This window comes from Homo sapiens, chromosome 13 (assembly GCF_000001405.40).
Source record: "Homo sapiens chromosome 13, GRCh38.p14 Primary Assembly".
In the NCBI taxonomy this organism is placed as follows: domain Eukaryota; kingdom Metazoa; phylum Chordata; class Mammalia; order Primates; family Hominidae; genus Homo; species Homo sapiens.
In genome coordinates, this window is record NC_000013.11 from 110,677,514 (window position 1) to 110,692,395 (window position 14,882).

The following is a 14,882-nucleotide window of genomic DNA, read 5'->3' on the forward strand; positions in this document are numbered from 1 at the left end:
CCCAGACAATCACACCACAGAAACTCAGACAGCCACCCCGCCACGGAAACCCAGACAGTCACCCCCACCATGGAAACACAATCACCCCACCACGGACACGCAGACAGTCACCCCACCACAGAAACTCAGTCACCCCCACCAGGGAGACCCAGACAATCACACCACAGAAACTCAGACAGCCACCCCGCCACGGAAACCCAGACAGCCACCCCGCCACGGAAACCCAGACAGTCACCCCCACCATGGAAACACAATCACCCCACCACGGACACGCAGACAGTCACCCCTACCATGAAAGCCCAGACTGTCACCCCACCAGGGAAGCCCAGGCTGTCACCACCACCTCACCCCCACCACAGAAGCCCAGATAGTCACCCCCCACCACAGAAACTCAGCTGGTCACCCCCACCAGGGAAATCCAGCCGGCCACCCCGGTGGAAGCCCCTCCAGCCGCCAGTGGGCAGCACGCCCCAGGCTGTGTCTCTTCGAAGGAGCCTTGGCTTCTCGTTCACTCCTGTTTCACCCACGTGAGGGACAGGAGCACCGGCAACGCTTTCACCTCAGATGCACCAGCGCACAGGGAGAGCTGGGCGGCCGGGAACCCACAGAGGCTCATTTCTCAGGAATGTACTGTGGACCAGGTGGGGTTTTCCCATTTTTCCTTATTCTGTCTTACGAGAAATACTCTGCTTATCAGTAACTGAGTTTCAGGGTTGTTTTTTCCAAAAAGATACTAATCACACAGAGTGAAAGGCGCGTGATCGTGTCAGGTAACGCGGCTTATGGACCCGAGACTCTGAGCAAGGTGCCCATCACCGTGCGGTGAGGCTGCCAGTGGCGCATGCTCACCAAAACCTGCTGTCCCATCTGCCCAGGACAGGCACACCCCATGTGCACAACGTCCCAATATCACCCTTTCCACCCGGGAGCACTGACACAGGCGTCCATCACCTTTGATGAATTTAAAGAGTGCAGACACAGATACTTTTTCTGGGTCAGACTGGACAGGCTACGTTTTCATTACTAGTCACTTTACTAAGAATAACATCCTCTGGGCACCCAAGCAAACAGAACAATTCCTACATAGTGCATGGCAAACGAGAGCATCAATAACACCTTATGCCGAAGGAAAATACTTAAGGACAGAAAATGCGGCCAAGGACTGTATTTCCAGCCAAACTGACTTTGAAGTAGAAGGCAGCACACTGTCATCCACAGGCACAAATGCAGAGAATACTGTTCCCGAGAAAGGGCTCTTCCTTCAGAAACTGCTGGGGAATGAGCTTCAAAAACAACAGGGAAAAAGCGGACCTGGAGACGGTGGGAGGGGGGAAGAGTGGACGGGGCTACAGAAGGCAGCGCAGGCGGAGGCTGGGCACTCCAACATATGGACACGCGGGGCGGGGAGGAGGCACGTGCATGGGAACCTTCTAACCGTGGTCAAGCCTCGGGCAGGGCTGGTCCGTGATGGACTAAAGCAGGTGGATGCCCACTGGTCATCCGGTCACGCCCGTTGTCCTTACCACACATGTGAACAGACAGAGGGGTTAATGAAACCCCGTGGCCCTGAATTTGAGTATCAGTGTGACCTACGGAGCAGATGCGTTCATTACCTCAGTCTATGGGAGAGGCCAGGAAACAATGACAGACGGCAATGACAGATGGCAACAATGAGTATCCATGGTGCCCATGCTGTGTTCTCAAAACACCATTTCCCATTAAAAGTAAAATGGGAGCTGGGCGCGGTGGCTCACACCTAGAATCCCAGCACTTTGGGAGGCCGAGGCGGGCGGATCACCTGAGGTCAGGAGTTCGAGACCAGCCTGACCAATATGACGAAACCTCGTCTCTACTAAAAATACAAAAATCAGCCGGGTGTGGTGGCAGGTGCCTGTAATCCCAGCTACTGTGGAGGCTGAGGCAGGAGAATCGCTTGAGCTCGGGAGGCGGAGGTTACAGTGAGCCGAGATCGCGCCATTGCACTCCAGCCTGAACAACAAGAGTGACATTCTATCTCAAAAAAACAAAAGAAAAGAAAAGAAAGAAAGAAAGAAAGAGAGAGAAAGAAAGAAAGAAAGAAAGAAAGAGAGAGAGAGAGAGAGAGAGAGAGAGGGAGGGAGGGACACCGGGCGTGACCGGAGGGAGGGAGGGAGGGAGGGAGGGAGGGAGGGAAAGGGAAGAAAAGGGAAGAAAGAAAAGAGAAAAATGGGACTTCCAGGAGAAACAGCTTATTTTAAGATGAGCCAGGAATATCTTACCATATCAGATAGACAGCCACAAAACTATTAACTACAACAGGGCTGAGTGTAAGGGACTCGGGAGTAGCTGCTACCAGCAAAAGAGGGGGCACGCCGAGGCTCAATAAGGTGATGGCAGCAATGGGTTAAAACGGCATGTGCACTGAAGCCCACGAGCTCTCAGCAACGGAAGAACATGAACTGGTCACTGCCAGAGGAAAATATGGAAGCCAACTCCTTGTTCTGAAAACTGGTAAGTTAAGGAAAAGGTCCTGCCTTTCTTATACAAACTGTACCACTGAGTAACCAGATGACAGTCTGCCTGTATAAAAGTATTCCAGCAAATGGGCCAGGCACGGTGGCTCACACCGATAACCCCAGTACTTTGGGAGGCCGAGGGGGGGGGGGGGGGGGGTGGATCACCTGAGGTCAGGAGTTCAAGACCAGCCTGGCCAACACGGCAAAACCCCATCTCTACTAAAACTACAAAAATTAGCTGGGTGTGGTGGCATGCCCCTGTAATCCCAGCTACTCTGGAGGCTGAGGCAGGGAGAACTGCTTGAACCTGGGAGGTGGAGGTTGCAGTGAACCGAGATCATGCCACTGCACTCCAGCCTGGGCAAAAGAGTGAGATTCCGTCTCAAAAAACAAACAAACAAACAAACAAAAAAGGTATTCCAGCAAATAAAGCAGAATGGGAGTTGCACCACCATGCCACCTCTTTTTGCAGTGAAGGATCTAAGCCTAGAGCGGCCAGGGCTGCTGACACACAGAGGCAGAGCCCTTACGTGTCTCCTGGTGAGGAATACACCATCTACAAAGTAGCCTTCTCCAGAAATTTAGAACTGGATTAAGCCTCTACATTCAACTACCAGTTTGCAAAAAAACACACAGGACAGAGGGAAATGTTACAGACACTCCAAAACTCAGAGCAAGCGAAATCCCACTGGGGGAACCGTGAGACACATGACGTTTCTCCCTCAAATGAGCAGCAAGGGGAAGAAGCCAGGGGAGGAACATGTGGACTAAAAACAAGACACAAATATAGAACAGCTAAGGCTAAGTGTCGTGTTAAGGGACACGTGTTTGGGCAATAAACCCATTCAGAAAAATGAGGAGGTGGCCGCTGTCAGAGTTAGGGCAGTAGTTGCCCCCAGGGCAGGGCAGAGAGGCTGGCAGGCAGGGCCCGGGAGGTTATCGGCCAGGGCGTGGGACCCGGAGGACTCAGGTGCCTTCGCTCCCTTGCCATTGTTGTCTCCTTCCACTAGGGGGTGACCGCAGGGTCTCCACTGAACACAAATTCACTGAGCTGGGCATTTTTGTTTGTTTGGTAGAGACAGCAAGGGGTCTCACTACATTGCCCAGGCTGGTCTTGAACTCCTGGCCTCAAGTGATCCTCCAACCTTGGCCTCCTAAAGTGCTGGAATTACAGGTGTGAGCCACCATGCTCAACCAAGTTGGACATTTTTTAATGGTGTTTTCTATTGTTGTGTTATTACAACAATTTAAATTGAAAATTAAAAAGACAACACCATTGCTTTGGAAATAACATACACTAAGGCATTAAAATTTTTTTTCACCATATGTAAAAATGGTGGTTTTATTATCTTTGTTTTGTGTAATTCTATTTCCTAATTTTGTACCATTATAAATTATATAAATATGTTGCTTTTGTATAAGAAAATATTTTTTATTTTAAAAAGCACTGCTGTGAAGATGTGGAACGACAGGGACTTATTCCTCACTGGTGGGGATGCAAAATGGTGCAGCCACTCTGGCAGAAGCTGGGCAGTTTCTGACACAAATAAGCCTCTTCCCAGAGGACCCAGCATTGTGCTCCTTGGTATCTGCCCAAATGAGCTGAAAACCTGCACGTGGATGTTTACAGCAGCTTTATTCATAATTGCCAAAACTCAGAAGCAGCGAAGATGCCCTTCAGTAGGTGAGTGCTTAAGCTGCTGTAAATTCAGACACTGGGACGTGACTCAGTGTTAAAGAGAAACGAGCTCTCAGCCATGAAAAGACACGGAGGAAAATTACTGTGTATTCCTAAGTGAGAGAAGCCATTCTGAGAAGGGTGCACAGTGTATGACTCCAACTATATGACATTCTAGAAAAGGCAAAACTAGAGACTGTAGAAAGACCAGTGATTTCCAGGGATGGGAAAGAGGGAAGGATGAGCAGACAGACCACACAGGATTTTTCAGGGCAGTGCAAGTATCCTGCGTGATGCTGGAATGGTGGAAACATGTCGCTATACATTCACCCAAACCCAGAGCACACAGTGCCGAGAGTGAACCCTGATGCCAACTCTGGTCTCTGGGCAAAGCTGATGCGTCAATGGTGGGGGATGCTGACAGTGTGGGGGGCGGTGTGGAGGGTAGCAGGTAGACAGGAATTCTCTGTACCTTACTCTCAAATTTGCTATGAAGCTAAAATGGCTCTAAAAAGCAAATCTATTAAATAAATAATTTTAAAAAACCTTCCTGATGCCAGAATGTACAACTCTCAGAAACTTCTCCTCCACATGTGTAAGCAAAGCCCACACGGCCTGCTGGTAGCCACGCCTCACACGTGGCTGATGTGGGCGTCTGTGTTCCGGCCTGTGCGGGGAGCGGGACAGGGCACCACGGCGGGGGAAGGAAAGAACCTGAGGGGTCAGTGCTATGGATGGTTAGGATTCATTGGCACAGTTTATGGCGCAGAAAGACAGTGCCTAAAACCAGAAATACCTTGAACAGTCTTTGGGGTCTGTCCCTGTTATTCTTGTTTGATTCCCTTAGACAGTATCCTTTTCAAATTATTTTAAATTTAGTTCCATATACTGCGCTTACTATTTCTTCTCCATAAAAATGTTTTGACCTAATAACTCCCTGGAACAGAATAGAGCAAGGAAGAGATTCAAACAGATTGGAAGTTTAACACATAGTAAGACACGTATGGGAATTAAATGTACGGTAACACAGAAGAACGCGAAAATATGATGTACGTGTATGAGGTTTTCATGTGCGCTGAAAACCCTGGGGAGGAAAAAGGAGACAGTGACCAGCACTGTCTCCAGGGAATGGAGCCAGGCACGCTGGGGGCGGGGGTGGACGATGCCCCACTTGCCGTTTGAACTATATGCCTCACAAGCTGGAGCCATCCACAGAAACCACACTAAATTTAAAACACAGCTGTGACCTGGGTAAGGCCAGTGTCTGAGCAAGTGGAGGGGTCTGCGCTCCAGATCTCATCTCCCCAGAGCTGAGACCCGAGGCAGAGGTCAGGGACCCACAGGGCTGAGCCCGGCCAACCCACCTGGCTCTCCGACTGGACCAGGGACCACGCCGACCAATTTGCCATACTTGTCTCCTCTAGACTTCAGATCGAAGTAGACATTGCCTGTTTATAAAGACAATTATGAATTCATCACTTCTCAGTCTGAATATCAGCATATTGACAACCTTAACATCTAACAAGTAATTAGAATTTAAATACAGAACATAGCATTTGGCCCCATATACATATATAGTATTTATATTTTTATAGACAGGGTCTTGCTGTTGCTCAGGCTGGAGTGCAGTGGTACAATCACAGCTCACGATAGCCTTGAACTCCTTGGCTCAGGCAGTCTTCCCACCTCAACCTTCCCAGTAGGTGGGGCTATAGGAGTGACACCATGCCTGGCTTAATATATTTGTTAACCAGAATTAAAAACAATACTATAAGATAAATGCATGATTTGGACATATCATGAGTACACAGACGTGAAAGTGAAAACACAAATGTAAGTTCTCTGTAAACTACTGAGACAATTATTTAATCAGAAAAAAGAAAAGTGTTATCACTGACCTTCATTTAGATCTTGTGCCTTGTGTTACACAACAGCTAACAAAGACACTCTTTCTTTACTTTATGTTACACACCAGCTAGCAAAGACACTCTTTCTTTGCCCAGTCATCTTCTAAAACTACCTTTTTACTCAGATTGAAAACATCATCTGGCTGGGTGCAGTGGCTCACGCCTCCAATCCCAGCACTTTGGGAGTCCGAGGCAGGAGGATTGTTTGAGCTGAAGAGTTCGAGACCAGCCTGGGCAACATAGTGAGACCCCATCTCTACCAAAAAAAACACACAAAAAAATCATCTGCATATTGAAGTGTCTGTGAGGCTGAGTGCCAAGGTCCGCTTTGCAGTCTGAGGTCAGAACCTTCTCCAGAGCCTCCTGCAAGCCTGGGCTGCCCTTGCCCCTTCCACCACAAAGCCTAAGAAAGCAGAGCTGGGGAGGAGGCACTCAGAGTGGGAGCTTTGTCAAGAAGAAAGCACTACCAACCTATGCTCCAAGGCTGCCCGGCTGCAGCCGCTGTGTGTTCCAGGCCATGTGTCTCCCTAGGAAGGAGGCAATGCTCATCCGGGCTGTGACCATGGCCATTCTCAGTACCACAGATCCGCAGCCACCATCCAGCACCCTCCAACCACACAGCAGCATGTAGCTGTCCTCAGGCCCCAGGCGTGGGTGCAACTTTTAGCCTTTACAAAGTTTGAGTCTTCACATTCTTTTTTACTAATGCAGTTACTGATTTGCATCAGTACTGTCCTTACTGCGGACACTGGTGTTGGTAAGATCAAGGAAACTTTGCAACTGGCAAACACAAGCTGCACCCAGGACCTGCCTCATGTCCTCAGCCTGGATGTCCCCCTCCTGTCCTCTGGTTCATCCCCAGCACCGAGTGCCAGCTTAGTGGTCAACCCCGAATGACCAGGGAGGACGCTGAAGGGACAGGGCAGGGTTTTCTGTTGAAATGTCACCCGGCTTTGTTTGCCCAAGCCACACTGGCCTTTCCTCCCACCAGTGACCATTGTGCTCAGAAAACCCTGCCCTGTCCCTGCAGCGTCCTCTCTGGTCATTCAGGGTTGACCATTAAGCTGGCACTCGGTGCTGGGGATGAACCAGAGGACAGGAGGGGGACATCCAGGCCCTGGGAGCTGCTTTCTATGAAGTCAGAATATAAACAGTGCTTTAAAAGCGCTTCACTGGAGAGAAACCACTCCCTTAAATGGTGGAAACATTCCCCCTTCACTTTGCTTTATGTTATCAATTTGCTGAAGAAATTGTTTTTCACCAAGAGTTCAAAGATCAAATTACAACCAAGCCCTTGTGGAATTGTAACAAAGTCCAAATTACTGGGGTTTGATTGAATGTAAGTGTATTTTGAATTAATTATATTTATACTATCATTAAATTGTTTATAATAAAACACAGTAACAAAACAACAAACAGCATTCAATCCTCAAGCCTGTGAAGACGAGAATCCCTAAAGACTCGTGAACATTTATCACTTTATTCCTAAAATGGAAGCACAGGCCCACATATCTTATTTCAAGTTACACGACAGCAAAAAATTAATTCCTGTGTTTTCTGGTGCAAACTCTAATTCAACCACCTAAGTCCTTTAAAAAAAGTTTTTCCTGGGAGGCTGAGGCAGGAGAATTGCTTGAACCCGGGAGGCGGAGGTTGCTGTGAGCCAAGATTGTGCCACTGCACTCCAGCCTAGGCGACAGAGCAAGACTCTGTCTCAAAAAAAAAAAAAGTTTTTCTTTGAAACAAAATCTAAATATACCACATTAGAACAAGTAAAAAGCTACTTCCATACACAGAGCCTACTGAGCAGATCCTCAGGGCCTCACGTGCTCATCTTACGCTCCAAGTAGGACCCAGGAAGGACAGGAACGTCCAGGGCAGTGCTTCATGCTTTCTGACTCATTGCAACAAACATTCAATACCTACGTATCTTCAGCCGTCGGCTGGATACTTTAAGGCGTCATTCAGTAAAGCAAAAGGTTTTTATGGTCTGAGAATTTATGATCTAGATGGGGACAAAATATGAATACATTAAACAGCAAACTATGGCAGTGCAGAACTGGCTGCCAAATGGTACAGCAGAGATATCAAGGCTGAGAAAGTAAGTTCACTTTCAACTGTGCTGGGTGAAGGAGAACTTCATGGAGAGATGAGGCTGTGGTCAGGGTTTGCAGCCAGGATGGGTGGGATTTAGTTCGGATTTATGGCGATGCTTCATCACCAAAGCAGCAAAACAGCAAGACGCCAGCCTTGCCTGGGGTCCACCAGACAAAGATTAGCATCCGCAAACCAATGAAACCACCTGCAGTAAGCAACATGCAAATCTAAACACAGACTGCTCCACAGGAAAACTGACCTGTCAGAGTCTTGAATCTACATGTGCTTACCCAGAAAAAATGAAAAAAAAAAAAAAAGAGAAAAAAAGAAAAAAAGAAAGAGGAGGGGAAAAAGTGAGGAGACTAAACCAACAAATGCACACGCAGCACATGCCCTGGGGACAAGTGAGTATATTTAATACAGAGAGGACACGCGAAGCTAGCCAGAAATTCTTCATTGTCTGAGGTCTGACCATGACATCTGGACTCCTTTTATGCAGAGATGCATGTTGAAGTGTCATGGCTGATGCGACAGAACATCTGCAACTCACGCTTTTTTTTTTTTTTTTTGAGACAAGGTCTCGCTCTGTCTCCCAGGCTGGTGTGCAGTGGGACAATCATGGTTCACTGCAGCCTCGAATTTCCTGGGCTCAATCTATCCTCTCACCTCGGCCTCCTGAGTAGCTGAGACTACAGGAGCACGCCACCATGCCTAGCTAATTTTTATATTTTATTTTTGTAGAGAAGGGGTCTCTCCATGTTGCCCAGGCTGGTCCTGAACTCCTGGACTCAAGTGATCCACCTGCCTCTGCCTCCCAAAGTGCTGGGATTATAGGTATCAGCCACCACGCCCAGCCCTGCAACTCACTTTTTTATTTTTATTTTTTGAGACAGTCTGGCAATGTCACCCAGGCTGGAGTACAATGGTGTGATCTCGGCTCACTGCAAACTATGCCTCCTGGGTGCAAGCAATTCTCATGCCTCAGCCTCCAGAATAGCTGGGACCACAGGCGCGCGATACCAGGCCTGGCTGATTTTTTGTCATCTTAGTAGAAAGAAGGTTTTAACATGTTACCCAGGCTGGTCTCAAATTCTTGGCCTCAAGTGATCCACCCGCTTCCACCTCCCAAAGTACTGGGATTACAGGCATCAGCCACCATGCCTGGCCCTGCAACTTTTTGTTTTTTGTGCAGGGGAGGGTGGGTGGACGGAGTCTTGCTCTGTCACCAGGCTGGAGTGCAATGGTGTGATCTCGGCTCACTGCAACCTCTGACTCCCGCAACTCACTCGTAATGGCCTGTGAAAAAACGATAGCCAAACAGACGGGGGTGACCTGGGCTGACTTTTAATAAGAAGAGAGCAGGTCTCTGGAGGTACTGTGTTTGTCCCCAACTTTTTGTTAGGAAAATACCTAAACAAAGATGAAATAACACCACAATGAACACCTGTACACCTACCACCTAGATTCCACGACTGTTACCAAGACTAGCTGTCCAGACGTTCCCCTCTCCCTGGAAAAGATATTTAGAACTAATTCAACCATTTCGCAAAGAGACACAATATTGTAGAAAACCCCACAACAGCTTTGCTGTTGGAATCCTAGCAAGACAGAAGTAAATTTTAGTATGTTCCTACAGCTGATAAATACATCCAGTTTCTCCAAATCCCAGTAATGTTTTAGTTTTAAGAACATAAACCGGCTGGGCACAGTGGCTCACGCCTGTAATCCCAGCACTTTGGGAGGCTGAGGCAGGTGGATCACAAGGTCAGGAGTTTGAGACCAGCTTGGCCAACATGGTGAAACCTTATCTCTACTAAAAATACCAAAACAAAAAAAATGTAGCCGGGCATGGTGGCACGCACCTTGTAGTCCCAGCTATTCAGGAGGCTGAGACGGGAGAATCGCTTGAACCAGGGAGGCAGAGGTTGCAGTGAGCTGAGATAGCACCACTGCACTCCAGCCTGGGTGACAGAGTAAAACTCTGTCTCAAAAAAAAAAAAAGAAAAAAAAAAAAAGAACATAAACCCTACCTTTTGCCGTTGAATAAGCGTTCCCACGAGCAATGATTCCTTCAATGAAAGAAATTATCTGAGGAATATTTTCGGTTACCCTCAGGTACACCGTGGGTGGGAGAACCTGCAAGGAAGTGGAGACGTGACCGTGTTTCCCTCGTGAGAAGCACAGGTCAGCCAGCACCAGCTGTCATTGCTCACGCCTGTCACCCTCATGGCAGGAACAACCAGCCCCACACTTTACCTTCAGGGCTGCCATGTCCTGCTTGAAGTCTTCCTCATAAAGACTGGCGAGGGAAGCGGGGGAAATATTCATCTGCAGAAGGATTAGATGTGCACGTTAATGAGTCTGGGGCATTCGCAACAGAACCACCCAGCCACAAGAAAGCCCACGTGCACAACACGACAGCAAACATACCCCGGCCACCTCCGGTGCCTCGGCCTCAGTTTGCCCCCACCCACTCACCAAAGCGGGGGCACTCATTTTAGGTACTGAACTTTTACTAGTAGCTTAGCTAGAAAAAAAGGCTTATTGACCTTGTCTTCTGGTTAGAGAAGAAATAATGTCACAATTTCCATTATATAGTAAAAAACAAACCAGCTGGGTGCAGCGGCTCACGCCTGTAATCCCAACACTTTGGGAGGCCAAGATGAGTGGATCGTTTGAGACCATGAGGTTGAAGCTGCGAACAGCCATGATCGTGCCACTGCAATCCCATCCTTGGCAACAGGACGAGACACCATCTCCGAAACAAAAATAAAAATAAAGTAAAATAGAAAACAAAACATACCAAGGATCCTCCACTTTTCTAAGACAAGGGCAAAATCACCCTAGTCCAGTCTGTATGATAAGAAACTAGGTTCCTATCTTATCCCTTAATCCTCAGGAGAAAAAAAAAATAGTCAAAAATATACTAAAGAGGAGGCTGGGTGTTGTGGGTCATAGCTATAAATCCCAGCACTTTGGGAGACTAAGGCAGGTGGATGACATGAGGCCGGGAGTTTGAGACCAGCCTGGCCAACACGGTGAAACCCCGTCTCTACTTAAAATACAAAAGTTAGCCAGGCATGGTGGTGCACACCTGTAATCCCAGAGACTCAGGTGGCTGAGGCAGGAGAATCACTTGAACTCAGGAGGCGGAGGTTGCAGTCAGCCAAGAAGGTGCCACTGCACTCCAGCCTGGGCGACAGAGCAAGACTCTCTTCCAAAACAAACAAAAAAGAAAGATCAAAAAGGAACTTCTAAAGAAATATTTTGAAAGTAATTTAACACACTACAACTGGGATTTAATGGAGTACTCATTCCCTCGGGTCCCATGGCTGGGTTTCTGGAGATAGACCATCAAAACAGTCCAATCAATTCCAAATGTGGGGGCCTTGGGGGCACGCATCTGCAGCCCCTGCCACATTATCCAAGGAGGCTGAGACACAAGACTAGGTTCGCTCATGTTATTTCATAATTTCAATGAAAAACTCTACATGAACAGATGCACAAGACACTGTGAAGCTCTGGAATGGAGCCGGGCATCATAACTGCTGGTCCTGCTCAAATGGCCTTTGGGCCTCCCAAGCACAGCACCTGCCACCTGCTAGTCTCTCCGAGCTGCTCCACGCAGCCTCGGGAACCAAGTCTCCCCATTTCACAGGTGAAGGAATTACCACTCTAGAATACTGAGAAACTTTCTCAAGCGCAACGCCACACGTGGGGCCAGGTCCCAACCATGTGACCCTGAGACCCAGGGCTCTGAATGGCATAGTCAACCCAGAAAGCCCCACCAAAGAATACCCACTGAAGAAAGCAAGCTGGTGAACTATGCGTTGCTACCCAGGTGTTGTTTAAGCTTTGGGGTCTTGGGCAAATCAATAATCAAACCTCTTGGCCTTCAGTTACTTTACAGCATGGAGATATTCTACCTAGTAATCCCTTAGACTGCTAGAAGAACCACTGTGTATATACGGGCAGGACAGCTTTGTAAAAGAAAACATTACATAAATATCACATTAAAGAGAGAAAATACACAGCACCTAGCACATAGCTGGTACTCCAATACACTTCAGCCCCTCTCCTGCGGTACAGTTTTGTGGCAAAGCAGACCTTTACAACAATAAATCAGTTAATGTATGTCTATCCAGGGGACAAAAGACCAAAGGAAAAAACCCAAAAGTACTGTGTCTTCTTGCCGCTTCAGACTCCCCCGGAAGTCTCAAATTCCATGCAATTTTGGGCCTAAAGATCAGTGGGGTGGCCGGGCGCGGTGGCTCACGCCTGTAATCCTCACACTTTGGGAGGCCGACGTGGGCAGATCATGAGGTCAGGAGATCTAGACCATCCTGGCTAACATGGTGAAACCCCGTTGCTACTGAAAATACAAAAAATCAGCTGAGCGTGGTGGCAGGCGCCTGTAATCCCAGCTACTCAGGAGGCTGAGGCAGGAGAATCGCTTGAACCCAGGAACTGGAGGTTGCAGTGAGCCAACACTGCCCTACTGCACTCTAGACTGGGCGACAGAGCGAGATCCTGTCTCAAAAAAATAAAAAATAAAATAATAAAGATCAGCAGGTTGCTTAATCTATATTTTTCTGCAGAGGTAATTTATTGCCAGGAGAAGTCAAATGGCATGAAGGGGTGCCCAGACTTGGCTTTCCTCCCAGAAGGAAAATACAGCGACCAGTTTTCCCACAAGCATGAACGTGGTTATATATATACATTTGCATCTTTTTCTTGGAATCCCCAAATGCAGCCCATTCCACACTCTGCTCTGTGCTGCTAGCTTCTCTCCCTCGCAGCACACAGAATCCTGGGGGTCCATCATGCTGGACACACTGAGCTGCCTCGCTCCTTTCAAGGTGGCCTCTACTCCCCCTTCCAGATGTGTCGCTACGTGCTTACCCGGTCCTGTCCCGATGCACATCCCATCCTCACCACTACAAACACAACTGTGCACAGGTCACTTTGCAGCAGCCCAAGTGTGCCTGTGAGCTACACTCGTAGGCAGGAGACAGAGGGCACAGGCTCATGGACTTGGCCGCTCCTGCAAGCTGCCTTCCAGGAAAGCTGTGCCAGCTACACCCGACCAGCAACACCTGGAGGTGTCTGTCTTCCTCTGCCCTCACCTGCAGGGTCAGCCAACTTTCACATGGTGTCAGTGTGACAGCTGACAAGTGCTTTGCTCTTTAAGCTTTTACCTCTTTTGAGTAAATCTGAACATCTCCCATGTTTAGGAACTATCTGCATTAAATGACCTGTAGTTATCCACACCTGTGTTTCTATTGAGTGGTATAGGTCTTTTTCTTATTGGATGTTAGGAATTCTTTTCTTTTTTTTCTTTTGAGACAGAGTTTTGTTCTTGTTGTCCACGCTGGAGTGCAATGGCACAATCTCAGCTCACTGCAACCTCCGCCTCCCGGGCTCAAGCGATGCTCCTGTCTCAGCCTCCCAAGTAGCTGGGACTACAGGCACACGCCACCATGCATGGCTAATTTTTGTATTTTTAGTAAAGATGGGGTTTTTCCTTGTTGGCCAGGCTGGTCTCGAACTCCTGACCTCAGGTGATCCACCTTCCTCGGCCTCCTGAAGTGCTGGGATTACAGATGTGAGTCACCGTGCCAGGCCGGAAGTATTTTTATATTAAAGAAATTAACCTTTTATCGCTGATATAATTTCCATTTTTCCACAGTTTTTCAACTTTATGGTTGTTTCATGAAATGTAAAAACTGTCATTTTTATACTTAGCAATCTTTCATATTTCTGAATCTTTTCTCATAAATGGCTTCTGGATTTGGAAACAAACTTACAAAGCCTCCCCAGTATGAGGCTATCAAATTTGCCTTGGGGTCTCTTTTATATTTAAATCTCTGACCTGCCTTGAATGCGGCTATGACGCCTCTATCTACCTCTGGCTTATGTTTTTCTCCAGATGACCCCTAGCTGCCAACACTCTACCTCCCACCCCTACTGATTTGAAATGCCATCTTTTATCATAAAACAAACTCCCATTGATTATCAGGGCTGTTTCTGGACTTTTTGGTGTATTCCATCATCTGTTTATGCGTGCTTTGTACAGGTGTTTAATTTCTGCAGGCTTTAAAGCCACAGATAACAGATCAGCAGATGCTTGGACACCAGAGGGTTAGGGGGTGCAGGGAGGAGTCCCGAGGGGCACAGACACAGGGGTGACGGATGCATCCACAGGGGCATCCCTAGGTCAACATTTGGCAAACTGCACCTTCCTGAATAATACATGCAATCTATTGTAGGTCAATCCTACCACATAAAGCTGTGCAGAAAAAAAAAAAAAAAAATATATATATATATATATATACACACACACACATATATATATATACACATATACATATATATATACACACATACATATATATACACACACATATATACATATATATATATACACACACATATATATACATATATATGAGAAAACAAAAACCTTCTATAGCTTTTAAAATGTTTTCATATTTGGTGGCCGGGCGCAGTGGCTCACACCTGTAATCCCAGCACTTTGGGAGGCTGAGGTGGGTGGATCACCTGAGGCCGGGAGTTCAAGACCAGCCTGGCCAACATGGAGAAACCCCGTCTCTACTAAAAATACAGAAAATTAGATGGGCGTGGTGGCACATGTCTGTAATCCTGGCTACTCGGGAGGCTGAGGCAGGAGAATCGCCTGAACCC

General features: G+C 47.6%; 1 protein-coding gene across 15 annotated transcripts in view; it reads right to left on the reverse strand.

Moving 5' to 3' along the window:
- Positions 1 to 14,882, reverse strand: part of CARS2 (cysteinyl-tRNA synthetase 2, mitochondrial) — a 72,113-nt gene that overhangs the window by 36,104 nt on the left and 21,127 nt on the right. For 13 of the 15 annotated variants that reach the window (NR_147941.1, NR_147942.2, XR_001749667.3 and 10 more), the window contains 3 exons: positions 10,434 to 10,505; positions 10,208 to 10,313; positions 5,538 to 5,621 (listed from right to left, as the gene is read on the reverse strand). Coding sequence is in view for 9 of the 15 variants with exons in the window: in XM_006719953.4 (XP_006720016.1) it covers positions 5,538 to 5,621; positions 10,208 to 10,313; positions 10,434 to 10,505 (262 nt within the window). In the remaining 6 variants the exon portion in view is untranslated. Of the gene's footprint in view, positions 1 to 5,537; positions 5,622 to 7,872; positions 8,086 to 10,207; positions 10,314 to 10,433; positions 10,506 to 14,882 lie in introns of all 15 variants that reach the window. The other 2 variants (NM_001352252.2, XM_047430609.1) reach the window with 2 other exon arrangements.